At 43.3% G+C, this 17,789-nt stretch overlaps 1 protein-coding gene across 3 annotated transcripts, besides 1 other annotated feature; it reads left to right on the top strand.

The window, feature by feature from the left end:
• On the top strand, positions 65-17,579 carry ZNF836 (zinc finger protein 836). Of its 3 annotated transcripts, none has more exons than NM_001102657.3 (5): positions 65-350; positions 1,905-2,038; positions 3,534-3,628; positions 11,095-11,221; positions 14,146-17,579. In NM_001102657.3, the coding sequence occupies exons 3-5, from the start codon at positions 3,614-3,616 to the stop codon at positions 16,812-16,814; spliced, it is 2,811 nt and encodes a 936-aa protein (NP_001096127.1). In that variant the 5' UTR covers positions 65-350; positions 1,905-2,038; positions 3,534-3,613; the 3' UTR covers positions 16,815-17,579. The 3 variants fall into 3 exon arrangements, with proteins under 3 accessions (NP_001096127.1, XP_011524860.1, XP_011524861.1); XM_011526558.4 differs by having other exon boundaries at positions 1,901-2,038; XM_011526559.4 differs by lacking the exon at positions 1,905-2,038.
• Positions 527-666: an enhancer, noted in NCBI's record as "active region_15037". NCBI's record gives its function as "activates an Ori minimal core promoter by ATAC-STARR-seq in GM12878 lymphoblastoid cells {active_cell/tissue: GM12878}" and the evidence as "EXISTENCE:reporter gene assay evidence [ECO:0000049][PMID:35858748]".
• Positions 17,580-17,789: the final 210 nt, after the last annotated feature.

Genomic DNA, 17,789 nt, shown 5'->3' with positions numbered 1-17,789 from the left:
CTGGCCCCGCCCACTACCGCATCAGCCTTGCCCCACCCTTTCAGGGTTCCCAAATCTGGCCAGTCTTTCTGCCCTTTCCCTTGCGGGTCGCACCCCGCCCAGGCCCCTCTCCCGCCCCAGGTCTCTCAGTCTTTTTTCTCAGGGCGTGTAGCTTCCTGCACACCCGGAAGCAGATCGCGCGGGGAAAAGATCACAGCGCTGCGCGTCAGTTTCCGTCTACCTGGACTAAACATTTGCTTCGCCCCGTCTGCCTGAATCGAACGTGCACTTGGCAGTCTTCCCTTGTCCATACCCGTTTCCTGGGGATCGCTACGGACCTTAAAATACCAGCAACAGCCCCTTCGCCCCAAGTAAGTCTGATAATTGCTTCCCTTTCGGTTTAAAAATCTCTCTGAGGCTGTTCCTTGCTCCCTGCCTTTCTGCCTTAGGACCATGTAGACAACCCCACTCAGGTCGTGTTCCTGCTTAAAACCCTTACTGACCTCTGCTTCGGCCCTGCGCCAAGTCGAGTCCTCACTCGGGAGGTGGATTCCCGCCCGTTGCGACCCCGGAGCTTCTCCGTCGTCAGCCCCTGGAGGGGAGCGCCCGCCGTCCGGCTCCTGAAGGAGTCGCTTCTCCTCCCAGGTCCTGGGATTCTGCAGACCCTCCCTGTCCTGAGACACCGTACCCCCTGCCACCTTGTGTCCTCCTCACGCCGGGTCCTTTCGCTCCCCAGGCTTCCCCTTCACAGCCACTGCTTTTCTCGATCCCCCCCTTGGGGGAGGTCACCTGAGTCTTGTGACACCCAGTGTTCTTCCTTCCCAAATTTTACTCCACTGGAAAATATGCTTTTCCGGGAGGTGGGCATCCTATTCCTCCCCTTTCTTACTGAATGTGTGGGTGAGAGGGATCAGGAGAGGAAAAGAAGGGGAGCGACGGAGCAAAAGGAAAGACCGAATAGAAGAGAATGAGGGAGACCCATAAATACACGGCAAAATGGATGATAATTTAGGGATTTGCAAAGAGACAGCAAGAGTGAAAGAGAACGAATGGAGAAAGAAGCAGGGGGAGGAAAGCACACAGAGAAATTTAGAAAAAAAGGGGGACCTTCAGAGAGATGAAAGGCAGCAAAATAGAGTGGGGCGGCAAAGGAGGAGGCACTGCAGACAGACAGTGGGGAGAAGGTGAAAGAGTTGGAGCCGCAGCCGACAGAGCTACGTGGTGCTGGGACTGAAAGAGAGGGAGAGAGGGCAGTGGGTGACAAGCAGAGTAGAGGGAGAACCACAGCAGGGAGGAAGCCTAGGGAGTTGGGGGTGCTAGAGAGTGGGAACAAAGGAGGTGTAACAGGTAAGAGGGAATTTTAACAAGGAGAGCAGAGAGGGAGCTCAGATGGGGAAAAAGAGGCGGAAATACGTGGAGATTGGGGACAATCAGAAAGATTGGGGAGAAAGAGCTACGAGAGGTGAAGTAAGTTGCAGAGCATCGGGCAGAACAGACATAAAGAGGAGAAAAACAGAAAAGGGGAGGAAAGGTGCAGAATGAGAGAGGGACACACACAATAGTGAAGAAAGTGGGAGAGGACCCCATCCAGATGAGCGATGAGTTGATTGGATATGGATGGTGGTTGTAATATTCTAATTTGTGACTTTATACTCTAATTTAAAATTCATTTCTTTAAATTGTACTCGTGAGGATGAAAATTACCACTCTTTTCTGTAAGGCTTGTGCATTTTGTATTTATTTGTATCAAAAGATATTTGGAATTTCTGTTTAGCCAGAGAGCATTTAAATTAAGTCATTCGTGGTAACTCTTTTCTTCCCTGGGATGGGGTAGAGGATAGAGTAACTGAGAAATGGGGCGATAAATGACTGTCACTGTCACTACAAGGTATGTCTTTTTTTTTTTTTTTTCTTTTTTGAGACAGGGTCTTGCTCTGTCAGACTAGAGTACAGTGCCATGATCTCCGCTCACTGCAGCCTCAACCTCCTGGGCTCAAGCAGTCTTTCTGCCTCAGAGTGCTGGGATTACAGACGGGAGCCACCACGCCAGGCCTACGAGGTATATCTTTGTATGAGTATTCAGAGTCTTATTTTTTTTTGGTAATGGATTTGCTTTTTTCTTTTTTTGGGACGGAGTTTCGCTCATGTTGCCCAGGCTGGAGTGCAATGGTGCCATCTCGGCTCACTGCAATCTCCGCCTCCCAGGTTCAAGTGATTCTCTTGCCTCAGCCTCACGAGTACCTGGGATTACAGGCATGTGCCACCACGCCTGGCTGATTTTGTATTTTTAGTAGAGACAGAGTTTCTCCATGTTGGTCAGGCTGGTCTTGAACTCCCAACCTCAGGTGATCTGCCGGCCTCGGCCTCCTAAAGTACTGGGATTACAGGTGTGAGCTACTGCGCCTGGCCTACTTTTTTCTTTGTAGTTCCACTTAATTCATCGTTATTTTGGAAGCTTGAGATAAGTGTTAGTTTATTCAATATCTGCCTTTCTATAAATAATTACTGACTTCTGAAATAAGATTTGGTGGCATCCTATAATCAGCTGACGTCATTCATTTCTAAATGTTAAGTATTGTCATTTTTTTAAACTTTCACCCTATAACTCATTAAATTTTTCAAAAACTTTCCAAACTGTTAAAGTGTCCAATACAGTATAGACACCACGGTGTACGTTAGATTCCCCTGAACTTCTTCATTTTATAACTGAAAGTTTATACGCTTTGGCCAACATTTTTCCATTCTCCCCACCACCAGCCCCTGGCAACAACTGTTCTACCCTGTTCCTATGAATTGGATACTTTAAAATTCTGCTTGTGAGGTCATACAGTAATTGTCTTTTAGTGTCTGTCTTATTTCACCTAGCGTAATGTCTTCCAGGTTCATCCATGTTGTTGCAAATAGCAGGAGAATCGCTTGAACCTGGGAGGCGGAGATTGCATGGTTCATCCATGTTGTTGCAAATAGCAGGATTTTCTTCTTTTTGATGGTTGAATAAGTCCATTATACATATGTACGCATACTATATATATCTATATAAATACACGTACACATAAAGATATGTATACAGACACATCATACATTTTCTTTTTTATTTTTATTGATTGATTTATTTATTTGAGATGGAGTCTTGCTGTGTCACCCAGGCTGGAGCACAGTGGCATGATCTCGGCTCACTGCAACCTCTGCCTCCCAGGTTCAAGCAATTCTCCTGCCTCAGCCTCCTGAGTAGCTGGGACTACAGGTGCATGCCACCACACCCGGCTAATTTTTGTATTTTTAGTAGAGACAGGGTTTCACTGTGTTGGCCAGGATGCTCTCAAACTCCTGACTTCAGTTGATCTGCCCGCCTCTGCCTCCTAAGGTGCTGGGATTACAGGCGTGAGCCACCATGCCAGGACACTTGGTCTTTGTTTAGGAATTTATTATCCTTGCATCCCCCTGGTGCAGTGGGCTGTCTCTCCACATGCTGAGGTCTTCCCTGTGGGCATGGTTGTAGCGCAGAAAGGAATGTGTTGTTTCCAAGCATTAAACAACAGATTTTTCACTTTCAGATTTGACTTGTAAAGAATTAATTATATTGACTGAGAGAGAAGCCCAGAAGAGGAAGAAGAGGAAAGAAAAGGAGTCAGGGATGGCTCTTACACAGGTAAAATGATATTCTTAGTGGATCATTCTGTCTCCTTCCTTTTTGAAATGCGACACATTGGAGTTGCGAATCTCCTCTGAGTCTGAAGCATCCTGCCTGACACGTTTGCTGCCATTCACCCATGCCTTCCCTCAGTTTCTCTCATCTCATTTAGCTTCTATCTCACTGCGACCCAGTGACATTAACTTGGGAAGAGGCTCCACTGGGCATGGTCCTGGGAGAGACTCACACCCAGACACGGATGGAGACGGGGTATGGGCCCCACAATGTCAGAGCTGTTGGCAGCAGAGATTGTTTAGAGGCAAAATCAGGATGCAGTCAGCTCTCTGTAGACCAGAAGTAGAGAAGCTGCACACGGAAGTCACATATTAATGTGCACGATACCTCATAAATTCTGGAAAAGAGACCTATGAGGGGAGATCTTTTCTGCCTAATTTTATACTACATTTGAAGGTGTATGAATTAATCACTGTTTCTAACTTCAAAATCTTAATGACTGGGAATGGAATGGACAATTAGATACACACGTCAGTGATAGAGGGTGTTTATTTTATCATTGATTTTTTTTTTTTTTTTTTTTTTTTTGAGACGGAGTTTCGTTCTTGTTGCCCAGGCTGGAGGGCAATGGTGTGATCTCGGCTCACTGCAACCTCCACCTCCCTGGTTCAAGTGATTCTCATGTCTCAGCCTCCTGAGTAGCTGGGATTACAGGCATGCGCCACCACGCCCGGCTGATTTTTGTATTTTTAGTAGAGATGGGGTTTCACCATGTTGGTCAGGCTGGTCTAGAACTCCCAACCTCAGGTGATCCTCCCGCCTCGGCCTCCCAAAATGCAGGGATTACAGGTGTGACCCACCGTGCCTGGCCCATCATTGATTTTAAAATATAAAATCAACCTGAATGTCAGATTCTTTTAGCCATTGTCACTGTATCCGTCCCACAGAGACTGCGGTGTTCATGCTGGGACTCTTCGCAGTTGTTTTATGTAAAAAGGTTATAATTTTGCTCAGATGTAGGAGCAGAACTCCTTTGTTATTAGAGAAGATGGAGCCAAATTCTCTCATTCCACCAGTTATTACTGAACATCATATTTCTTTTATTTTAAACATCACATAATATATTTGTTTGCAGTAAAAGTCCAAGCAGAGATGCAGTTGAGGCATTAAGAAGTTGGTACAGGCCGGGCGCGGTGGCTCACGCCTGTAATCCCAGCACTTTGGGAGGCCGAGGCGGGCGGATCACGAGGTCAGGAGATCGAGACCATCCTGGCTAACAAGGTGAAACCCCGTCTCTACTAAAAAATAAAAAAAAAAAAATTAGCTGGGCGTGGTGGCGGGGGCCTGTAGTCCCAGCTACTTGGGAGGCTGAAGCAGGAGAATGGCATGAACCCAGGAGGTGGAGCTTGCAGTGAGCCGAGATCGTGCCACTGCACTCCAGCCTGGGCGACAGAGCGAGACTCCGTCTCAAAAAAAAAAAAAAAAGAAGTTGGTACAACATGAAGATGATAGGAAAATAATATTTTATTATATATGAAATTCATGCTATGTTAGATTTTAGCTGTTCCTGTCAAAAAAAAAGGTACCTCTGAGATGATGGATATGTTAATTTGTTAAACCATAGTGACTTTTTTTACTATCTATACTGTAATATCATGTTGTATACCTTATATATACCATAAAATTTATAAGCAAACATAAAACATGGGGCATCAAGGAAACATTTCAGTTTTATGCTAAAAAAAAATTTATAATCTTAAAAAAGGACATTGGCCAGGCGCAGTGGCTCATGCCTGCAATCCCAGCACTTTTGAAGGCTGAGGCAGGCGGATCACCAGGTCAGGAGTTAGAGACCAGCCTGGCCAACATAGTGAAACCCCACCTCTACTAAAAATACAAAAATTAGCCTGGCGTGGTGGCGCATGCCTGTAGTTCCAGCTACTCGGGAGGCTGAGGTAGGAGAATCCCTTGAACCCAGGAGGCAGAGGTTGCAGTGAGCTGAGATTGCACCATTGCACTCCAGCCTGGGTGACAGAGCTAGACTCTGTCTCCAAAAATAAAAATAAAAATAAAAAAAGGACATTAAGGCATATATATTCTGAAAATTTAACTACAGAATATGAAATGGCTGCTAGAATGCAGTAAAAAAAAATTGAGCAAAGAATGAAGATTATTTTATTTTGATTTCTACAAATTAATGAAATGGAAAATGGAAATGCAAAGAGTTATCATTTTCCCCAGATCTTCAACATCTAAAAGAAACATAGTAGTAGGTTTTGTTCAAATGAGTGAGAAATCTCGTGTGATGTTGGTGGGAGAGGGCTGCTTTGCAGCTCAGGGTAGTGGAGAATCTTGCCAGATCTAGCAAAGCAGGAAATGCACCATCCTAGAGGAAGCGATCACTCTTTCAAGTGCCCAACCTGGGGGAACCCAGGTTCCTTTCCCTATCACATCATCCACCATCCCTCATGTTTCTGTGGGGAGCTACTGTTGCAAGTTCTGTGGCAAGAGTCAGTGAGAGGTGTCAAGTTGCATTTACACGTCATTATGAGATTTCAGAAAACAATTCTTCAGTGAATGTTCTGCTGTGAAGTTTTGTTTTGCAAGTTTTTGAAGTGTACATATTTTTATGTTAATAAACACTAATAGTTTGTTTTGCATCCTCTTTGGAGCAGTGCCTAAATGAAGACGTATGGGTCTTTTACTGTTTTTTGCTGTTACAAAGAATGTCACCGTGGCTGCCTGTATGCATGCTATCTTTACCACAGATGTCTGAAGTTTCCTCCAGGTTGGGCAGTTTAAAGAGTGAGTGCCTCTTTTAGGATGGCATACCACAAAAGCAAAAATAAATAAATGTTTTCCTTTATCTTTTTCTGGAAGGCCTGGCTCACAGAGTGATCATAAAATACTATGTTTCTTTTAGATCTAAGGTTTTCTTGCTTACGTTTTCTTTGCATGCATCTTTCTTTTGGTGATGGAATCTGGCTCTGTTGCCCAGGCTGGAGTGCAGTGGCATGATCTGGGCCAACTGCAACCTCCGCCTCCCAGGTTTAAGGGATCCTCCTGCCACAGCTTCCTGAGCAGCTGGGACTATTGGCACTCACCACCATACCCAGCTAATTTTTTTGTATTTTTCAGAGAGAGGGGGTTTCACCATGTTGACCAAGCTGGTCTCAAACTCCTGAACTCAAGTCATCCGCTTGCCTTAGCCTCCAGAAGTGCTGGGATTACAGGCATGAGCCATTGAACCCAGCCTTTGATTATATTATGCCTTTCAGTAAAGCTTGTTTGTTTACTTACAGTTAAGTAATGTTATATATATTCACATTATTTATTGGACTTCCAGAATACATATGTTCTTGGTGCTTGATTGTTTGCCATGAGCCCCTCATGCTCTCTTCATTTTTCTCTGTTTTTTATAGTTTTTGTTTCTCTCCCTGTCAAAATCCCCTTTGAGTTCACTGATTCCTTCTTCTGTCTGATTAAGTCAGCTGTTGAACTCATCTAGTGACTATTTCAACTCAGTTATTTTATTTTTAGCTCTAGTCTTTCTTTCTTTCTCTCTTTTTCTTTCTCTTTCTTTCCTTCCTTCCTTCCTTCCTTCCTTCCTTTTCTCTCTCTCTCTCTCTCCCTCCCTCCTTTCTCTTTCTTTCTCTTTTTTTTTTTTGAGACAGAGTTTCACTCCTGTTGCCCGGGCTGGAGTGCGATGGTGCGATCTCAGCTCACTGCAACCTCTGCCTCCTGGGTTCAAGCAATTCTCCTACCTTAACCTCCTGAGTAGCTGGGATTACAAGCACGCACCACCAAGCCTGGCTAATTTTTTATATTTTTAGTAGAAACGGGATTTCACCATGTTAGCCATGCTGGTCTCAAACTCCTGACCTCAGGTGATTTGCCCTCCTTGGCTCCCCAAAGTGCTGGGATTACAGGTCGTGAGCCACTGCACCCGGCCATTACTCTCTTTCTTTCTCACTTTTTCTTTCCTTCTTTCTTGTTCTTCCCTCCCTCCCTCCCTTCCTTCCTTCCTTCTTTTTCTTTTCCTTCTTTTGTGGCAGGGTTTCACTCTATTGCCCAGGCTGGAGTTCAGTAGAACGATCCATCTAAAACAACAACAACACACACACAATTATAATTTTCTGACTGGGGATTGTGTCCTCTCTGAGCCTTTGCTTGTCATCTCCTAATTGAAGAGGTTTGCTGGTTTCTACTCAGAAGCTCCCCTGTTACCTGTCTGCGCTATTGAAGACTCTGGTGCTGCAGTCACCTATGGTACTAGATCTTACCTAGTGTCTTTCCGTGTTACTGCACACACTGGTTTATGTCAATCTTCTTTTTTCTCAGTGGCCCCTAACCTTTCATCCTGTTCCTTTCAGTGATTATATTCAGGCAAGACAGAAACCAGTTGATAGGCTTTGGTTGTGTCTCCACCCAAATCTCATCTTGAATTTTCAGTAGAGACGGGGTTTCACCATGTTGGCCAGGATGGTTTCGATCTCTTGACCTTGTGATCCGCCCACCTCGGCCTCCCAAAGTGCTGGGATTACAGGCGTGAGCCACCGCACCCGGGCTGTGGAAAGCAGAATTTAAGAGTGATGAACTAAGATGTTTGTTAGAAACACTCTCAAAGCAAATTGTTCAGGTTGCTGCATGGCTTCTCTGACCTGTTTATAGTAAAACAGGAGAAGAGAGAAATGAGTTAAAAACAGTTTGTTTTCAAAGCCCAGTGTAAAGATTTGGAAAATTCTCAGCCTGGCCATGTAAAGAATTAAAAGTGTATTTAGGAGAGAAAACCAAGAGGGGTGTAGCCAAGTGGCCTCTGACAAGGAGATTAGTATGGATAGAAGTAAGCCAGGACCTGATTATTGAGACAATCAGAGAATCATCCCAAAGGCATTTTAGAGATCTTTGAGACTGCTGTGCCCATTGTAGGTCCAGAGTGCCAGGGCCTTGAGGGCAGAATAGTTTCAAGGGAGTGGCCCAGGGTGCCCTTCGGACCTCGGAACTCTGATACCTCAGGTCTGTGATCTCTGTATTTCAGAGCAGAGGTCCTTGGCTACCCCACCTATGACTGAAGTGGGGCCAGGTGCGGACCAGCCACCACTCCAGAGGGCACACACTGTTGGGAGCTAAAAAGGCCAAAGGGATCGTGATCAACTTAGCATTCCACTGGAGGCTATATGATCAAACAGCAAACTGTTTACCATGAATGCAGGATGTGGGCAAACTCACGACTGCGCCTGCCGCCAGAAGGTTTGCTGAGGGCCGTCACTCCCTGGCGCCGGGCTCCTTGAAGTTATCTACTGGGAAATCTAGAGCTTATTGTTGGAAGGATGCAGTCTTGCAAGCCTGCTGTGATCCAAACGGCCGACTGAGTTACCAACAATCACCCCCACTTCTGGTTATCTCTTTTACCTAATAAATTTGGAGGGCTGAAAAAGCTCAGGGCCCTTGTCCACTAGAGGCAAGATGCCCCCTGGCCCCTTCTTCCAAATATACTCTCTTGTCTTTTTCTTTTATTCCCGCGTTCACCCGCTTTGTTCAGTCCACCAGGGATTGAGGTCGGTTACAACACACAAACTGTAAACCTTGGCAACATCAACACAGTGCTAACTAAAAGTGTGCAGAGGGCATGAGATGTGGACTCACGGTTACTTCCATCTAGATTTCAAAGAATGCCTCAGAGATCCTTGGAGCCTAGGCATAAAAATGCCATAGGAGTGAGGCTGTCCCTGGAAGTCCCCACTAAGGCAATGCTCAGTCTAGCTGTGGAGGTGGGGCCAACTTCAGAGAGTCCCTGTTAGGATAAGGTCCAGTAAAGCCCTGGGAGCAGGGCCACCTTTGAGACCCCAAAACTGTAGAGTCACCGGTATGTGATTCCAGCTCGGGAGAGCTGCAGGCACTGTGAGAACTTCCATGTGGGGTGATCCCAACAAAACCACTAGGGCAGGGATCCCCAGGATGTTGGGACCCAACCTCTACTCCAGGATGTCTAGAAGGTGGGACACGGAGTCAAAGATTATTGTCAAGCCTTAGTGTTTAATGTGTATGCCCTGTTGGGTTTCAGCCTTACATGGGAACAGCTACCCCTTCTTTCCTGTTTCTCCCTTTTGGAATTGAAATATTTAACCTGTGTCTGCCCCACCATTGTATTTTGGAAGCACATAACTCGTTTGCTTTCATAGGTTCACAACTAGAAAGCAGTTTGCCTTTGGATGAAATGCATGTTTGAGTCTCACCCATATCTGATTTAGATTATAGTTAGATACAACTCTAGACTATAGGCTTTTGAATTGGTTGTAGAAATAAAGCTTTGGGAGCCATTAGGATAGAATGTATTTTGTTTGTGAGAAGTATATCAATTTTGGGGGCCAGGGGTGGAATGTTACAGTCTGAGTTTTTTTTTTTTTTCTCCTCCACAATTCATGTTGAAACTTAATCCCCAGTGCCTAATCTTTAAATGTTATGAGTCGTGGCCTTTAGGAGGAGATTGGATCATGAGAAGTCTGCCTTTATCAGTGGGTATGGTGTTCTCGTCAATGAGATATCAAAAGGCTTATTCTACGGAGTTCACTGCTTTTTGCCCTTTCTGTCCCTTCTGCCATGTGGGGACAACAGCATTCGTCCCCTGTGCAGCAACAAGACCATCTTGGAAGCGAGGATCATCTCTCACCAGACATCAGTCCTGCTGGCACCTTGATCTTGGATTTCCCCAGCCAGCAGAATCATGAGAAATACATTTCTATTGTTCATAAATTACCCAGTCTGTTTTACTTGGTACAGCAGCACAGAGAGACTAAGACATACCGTAACCATAATTTAACCATTTGTTTCTTTTGATTCAAGACTGATTCTCAGACATCTGGATTTAGATGCCTGCTCTGCCATTTTCAGGTTGTTGACCTAGGTGACTTTTTAGCGTTTTCTGTGACATAGTTGTCTCCTAGTAACATGGGAACAAATCTCTCTATCTCTCTATCTATTATGTTATTATTTGAATTAGAACATGTAAAGCATTTGGAGTAATGCCCAGCACATGGGGAGTGTTCCAAAACTTCAGTCATTGCTGTTGCTGTGGTCATCACAGTTTTTAGTTTCTGACCTTTCTTTAAAGCTTCTATGGACATTGTCATCTCCAAGACACCACTTGTATACTAGCTCATCTGGACACTCAGTTGATATATTGAACATAATATCTAATACTTATACAGATAACCACGTGTTCATTTCTTTGTATATTTCTTGCATTGTACACAAAAATGAGAAGCCTACACTGATTTACGGGATATCATAATCTTCTATTGAATTTTAAAACAAACTTAAATTAGGGACACATAACCTTCTCACAGATGCCTTGCATGGATATGTGAAAACACACAATCAAATTGATGTGACAGTTCTCTCCTCTTCTCATTTTATGTATAGATAAGAGCTCTCCCATTGCTCATGTTGAAATGTGTTTTTCATTTCAGGGACCTTTGACATTCAGGGATGTAGCCATAGAATTCTCTCAGGAGGAGTGGAAATCCCTGGACCCTGTGCAGAAAGCTTTGTACTGGGATGTGATGTTGGAGAACTACAGGAACCTGGTCTTCCTGGGTAAGGATAATTTTGCTCTAGAAGTTAAGATCTGCCCTCGTGTATTTTTGTATTTTCTCTGTTGTCTTTCTTGGGAGCCCTTCCATTATTTGACTGAGACTGAAGCCTTGTTGACTCACAAATAAAAAGCTTCATAATGCTGCATCTGGCCTTTCATTTCCCATATCATCACACTATCCCCTTTTTGAATGTCTTCCCTTGTTGTCCTGTGCCCTTAGTAGAATTCCCATATTTAAGTATTAGTCAGTATAATGGTACTTTTTTTTTTTTTTTTTTTTAATGGAGACAGAGTCTAGCTTTGTCTCCCAGGCTGGAGTGCAGTGGCGTGAACCCAACTCACTGCAACCTCCGCCTTCTGAGTTCAAGCAATTCTCCTACCTCAGCCTCCTGAGTAGCTGGGACTACAGGCTCACACCACCACTCCCGGCTAATTTTTTGTATTTTAGTAGTGACGGAGTTTCACCATGTTGCCCAGGCTGGTCTCAAACTCCTGAGCTCGGCAGTCTGCCCGCCTTGGCCTCCCGAAGTGCTAGGATTACAGGCGTGAGTCACCACGCTACTTCTAAATTAGTATCTCTCTTTTCTTCCAAAGTCAGGATTTTAACTATTCTTTGGGCAATTATATACCCACAGCTCTGCAAGCACAAACGCTGCTGCCCCATGCTTATAACTCTTTGCCCTCCCCTCTTGCCCTTCCTCCTCCCTGCCTCTTCCAAACATATTACTTTGGTCCAGATGGACTACCCAGTTACTTACTAGCATATTAATTTTACACTCCCATTATTGCAGTACTCCCTCACCTTCCATGTTACACTCAGTGTAACTCATTCACTTGACAACTTTCTGAGAACACTGTCTATGTCAATATGTGCAGGGGATGATGGCTCAGATACTGTTATTCATGAAGGGTGACTGAATAATGTTTTGGCAACACACATTGGCTCTTGAAGTATTTCTTTCCACACTCTTGGTATTTGGAGTGACCAGTTATCTGCACTGACTGTTTGGCCAGTTTTATTTAAAAACATGTTTGATCCCGGAAACCCAGGTTCATGTCTTACTTTCTTCGTAATTTGGGTGTAGATACATAAATCCTGTGGGCAGTCTTACTGTCCTTATTTGTAAAATAGTGATAATTTATCTTAAGATTTTTTAAAACAAGTTAGTGCTGTTTGCTAGCTTAGAATATTGCATGTTTTATAGTAAAGACTCACAAATTTCTTTGTTTAATAAGGTATATCAACATTATTTCATGTTTATAATGAGATGGCATATTAGCTTTAACTTAATGTGGTTAGGTATAGCAGATACCATAGATAGGGTCGTTTAAACAACAGGAAGTCACTTTTCACAGATCTGGGTGATGAGCAGTCCACATGTCAGAGCCAGTCACCTTGGTTCTTGGTGTGGGCCATTTTCCTGGTGTATCATGACTAACTCTTTCTGTGTCCTCACATGGCAGAAGGATTGCCGTGCAAAAAGCAAAAGCTTTTTCACATCTACTCAAATTCCTATTCCGTTCCTGAAATTCTATCTACCATGGTGACCTAATTGCCTCCCAAAGTTCACACCTCCAAGTAATATTACATTGAGGATTAGGACCCCAACATACGAGTTTTGGCAGACATAAGTCAATATAGCTGACTTGCACTGCTTGTTAGTGTTGCAAATGTCTATTTTTTATGGAAATAGATAGTTTTTTGTTTGTTTGTTTGTTTTTCCGAGACAGAGTCTTGCTCTGTCACCCAGACTGGAGTGCTGTGGCGCGATCTCAGCTCACTACAACCTCTGCCTCCTGGGTTCAAGCAATTCTCCTACCTCAGCATCCCAAGTAGCTGGGATTACAGGTGCACACCACCATGCCTGGCTAATTTTTGTATTTTTAGTAGAGACGGGGTTTCATCATGTTGGCCAGGCTAGTCTCGAACTCCTGACCTCATGATCCACCCACCTCAGCCTCCCAAAGTGCTGGGATTACAGGTGTGAGCCACTGCGCCCGGCCAGAAATAGGTAGTTTTAGAACAGGTTTAATACTTATATAATAAGTATTCAGAAAAATAACTTAGTGTTATAACTTCAAAAAATTCTTTCTCATTTTCCCAGTACTATTTTTGATTTATAATTCTAGCTTGCCATTTATATAGAACATTAATTAGTTGAACTTGTTGATATTTAGCTGTAATTTGACATTTATTCATGCACAATAAATATGAAGTAAATATATATGTATATAACTATTTTCTCTTCTGAGAGAGCCATATGTTTGCTGCCAGTTGATGTATGATTTGGGGGCATGGTGGAAAAATACTTGTTTTAGTGCTAATATATGTTTGCACAACATGAGTCTTTCAGTCATTGAATGTTTGAAACTAGGTTTCCTTAAAATTAATTTGAATTACATGTGATTACTCTTTCTTTACTGAAGAATTCTACTCCTTTTTTATTTGTAAAAATAGAAGATCATTGTGGTAAAGTTTGGTAACTGTCTAGTATAAACGTTACTTTTAGTGTAGTATGTTTTCAATATAAAATATTTATGAATAGTAGTTATTTAAAAAAAAACAAATAATACTAGTTATTTTTAAAATCTATGTTCGGCCAGGCGCAGTGGCTCACACCTGTAATCCCAGCACTTTGTGGGGCCGAGGTGGGCGGATCACGAGGTCAGGAGTTCGAGACCAGCCTGGCCAATATGGGGAAACCCTGTCTCTACTAAAAATATAAAAATTAGCCAGGTGTGGTGATGTGTGCCTGTAGTCCCAGCTACTCAGGAGGCTGAGGCAGAAGAATAGCTCGAACCCAGGAGGTGGAGGTCACAGTGAGCTGAGATTGTGCCACTCCACTCCAGCCTGGGCAACAGAGCAAGACTCTGTCTCAAAAAAAAAAACCAACGAAAAAACTCCCATGTTCATTATATTTTGTAGGTATCCTTCCTAAATGTATGACCAAGGAATTACCACCAATAGGGAACAGTAATACAGGAGAAAAATGCCAAACAGTGACGCTGGAAAGACATGAATGTTATGATGTTGAAAATTTTTACTTAAGGGAAATCCAGAAAAATCTACAGGACCTTGAGTTTCAATGGAAAGATGGTGAAATAAATTATAAAGAAGTGCCAATGACCTATAAAAACAATCTTAATGGTAAAAGAGGTCAACATAGTCAAGAGGATGTAGAAAACAAATGTATTGAAAATCAGCTTACATTAAGCTTTCAGTCACGTCTGACTGAACTGCAGAAATTTCAAACTGAAGGGAAAATTTATGAGTGTAACCAATCTGAGAAGACAGTTAATAACAGTTCCCTAGTTTCACCACTTCAAAGAATTCTTCCTAGTGTCCAAACCAACATTTCTAAAAAATATGAGAATGAGTTTTTGCAGCTGTCATTACCCACCCAACTTGAGAAAACACACATTAGGGAAAAACCTTATATGTGTAAAGGGTGTGGCAAAGCCTTTAGAGTGTCTTCAAGTCTTATTAACCATCAGATGGTACATACTACAGAGAAACCTTACAAATGCAATGAATGTGGCAAAGCCTTTCATCGGGGCTCACTACTAACTATACATCAGATAGTCCATACAAGGGGGAAGCCATATCAATGTGGTGTATGTGGCAAGATCTTCAGACAAAATTCAGATCTTGTAAATCACCGGAGAAGTCACACTGGAGAGAAACCGTACAAATGTAATGAATGTGGCAAGTCCTTTAGTCAAAGTTATAACCTTGCAATACATCAGAGAATTCACACTGGAGAGAAACCTTACAAATGTAATGAGTGTGGGAAAACCTTCAAACAAGGCTCATGCCTCACTACACATCAGATAATCCATACAGGAGAGAAACCATATCAATGTGATATATGTGGCAAGGTCTTCAGGCAGAATTCTAATCTTGTAAATCACCAGAGAATCCACACTGGAGAGAAACCATACAAATGCAACATATGTGGAAAGTCCTTTAGTCAAAGTTCCAACCTGGCAACTCATCAGACAGTTCATAGTGGAAACAAACCTTACAAATGTGATGAGTGTGGCAAAACCTTTAAACGGAGCTCCAGCCTCACTACACATCAGATAATCCATACAGGAGAGAAACCATATACATGTGATGTATGCGACAAGGTCTTCAGTCAACGTTCACAACTTGCAAGGCACCAGAGAAGTCATACTGGAGAGAAACCTTACAAATGCAATGAATGTGGCAAGGTCTTCAGTCAGACTTCACATCTTGTGGGGCATCGGAGAATTCATACTGGAGAGAAACCTTACAAATGTGATAAATGTGGTAAAGCCTTTAAACAGGGCTCATTACTCACTCGACATAAGATAATTCATACCAGAGAGAAACGTTACCAATGCGGTGAATGTGGAAAGGTCTTTAGTGAAAATTCATGCCTTGTAAGACATTTAAGAATTCATACTGGGGAGCAACCTTACAAATGTAATGTGTGTGGCAAGGTCTTCAATTACAGTGGAAACCTTTCAATTCATAAGAGAATACATACGGGAGAGAAACCTTTCCAATGTAATGAATGTGGCACAGTCTTCAGGAACTACTCATGCCTAGCACGTCATCTAAGAATTCATACTGGGCAGAAACCTTACAAATGTAATGTGTGTGGCAAGGTCTTCAATGACAGTGGAAACCTTTCAAATCATAAGAGAATTCATACTGGAGAGAAGCCGTTTCAATGTAACGAATGCGGCAAGGTTTTCAGTTACTACTCATGCCTAGCACGTCATCGGAAAATTCATACCGGAGAGAAACCTTACAAATGTAATGATTGTGGCAAAGCCTATACTCAGCGTTCAAGCCTCACTAAACATCTGATAATTCATACTGGAGAGAAACCTTACAATTGTAATGAGTTTGGAGGGGCATTTATCCAAAGTTCAAAACTTGCAAGATATCACAGAAATCCTACTGGGGAGAAACCACACAAATGTAGCCATTGTGGTAGAACTTTTAGTCATATAACAGGCCTGACGTACCATCAGAGAAGGCATACTGGAGAGATGCCATACAAATGTATTGAATGTGGCCAGGTCTTTAATTCCACTTCGAACCTTGCAAGGCATCGGAGAATTCACACTGGAGAGAAACCTTACAAATGTAATGAATGTGGCAAGGTCTTTCGTCATCAATCAACACTAGCACGTCATCGGAGTATTCATACTGGAGAGAAACCTTACGTGTGTAATGAGTGTGGCAAAGCCTTTAGAGTGCGTTCAATTCTGGTTAATCATCAGAAAATGCATACTGGGGACAAACCTTACAAATGTAATGAATGTGGTAAAGCTTTTATTGAAAGGTCAAAGCTGGTGTACCATCAAAGAAATCACACTGGAGAGAAGCCATACAAATGTATTGAATGTGGCAAGGCCTTTGGGCGGTTTTCTTGCCTCAACAAACACCAAATGATTCATTCTGGAGAAAAACCTTATAAATGTAATGAGTGTGGCAAATCTTTCATTAGTCGCTCAGGCCTCACTAAACATCAGACAAAACATACTGCAGAGAGTCTTAAAACAAAATTCAATGTGGAAAAGCCTTTAGATGTTCTCCTAACTTCTGGGTTCAAATAATTCATACTTATTGATATAGCTTGTATATTTGTCACTTCCGTCTGAAATCTCATGTGGAATTTTAATCCCCTTTATTGGAGGTGGGGCCTGGTGGGAGATGATTGGATCACAGGGGTGGATTTCTCAAGAATGGTTTAGCACCACCCGCTTTTTGCTCTTCTTGGGATAGTGAGTTCTGGTGAGATCTTGTTTTTTTGTTTGTTTTGCTTTTTTGAGACGGAGTCTCTCTCTGTCGCCAGGCTGGAATGCAGTGGCGTGATCTAGGCTCACTGCAACCTCTGCCTCCCAGGTTCAAGTGATTCTCCTGCCTCAGTCTCCCTGAGTAGCTGGGACTACAGGTGCACACCACCATGCCTGGCTAATTTTTGTATTTTTAGTAGACATGGAGTTTCACCATGTTGGCCAGGATGGTCTCAATTTCTTGACCTAGTGATCTGCCTGCCTCGGCCTCCCAAAGTGCTGGGATTATAGGTGTGAGCCACTGCGCCTGGCTGAGATCTTGTTGGTTAAAAGTGTATGGCACGTTAGGCATGGTGGGTCATGCCTGTAATCCCAGCATTTAGGGAGGTTGGAGCAGGCAGATCACTTGTGGCCAGGTGTTCAAAACCAGGCTGGTCAACGTGGTGAACAGTTGTCTCTACTAAAATATAAACATTAGCCAGGCATGGTGATGCATGCCTGTAATCCCAGCTACTCAGGAGGCTGAAGCATGAGGATCACTTGAACCCAGGAGACAGAGGTTGCAGTGAGCCAAGATCGTGCCAGTGCACTCCAGCCTGGGTGACAGCGAGACCCTGTCTCCAGAAAAAAAAAAAAAAAAAAAAAAAAGTGTATGGAACTTTCCTCTCTCTTGCTCCTATTCTTGCCATGTGACATGCCCACTCCCCTTTTTCCTTCCACCATGATTTTAACATTCCTGAGGCTTCCTCGGAAGGTGAGCAGATGCCAGCACCATGTTTCCTGTAAAGCCTGCAG

The sequence above is a fragment of the Homo sapiens genome, chromosome 19, assembly GCF_000001405.40.
Source record: "Homo sapiens chromosome 19, GRCh38.p14 Primary Assembly".
NCBI classification, from domain to species: Eukaryota; Metazoa; Chordata; class Mammalia; order Primates; family Hominidae; genus Homo; species Homo sapiens.
The sequence above is the reverse complement of the archived record's forward strand: the minus strand, read 5'-3'. Positions and strand labels throughout refer to the sequence as shown.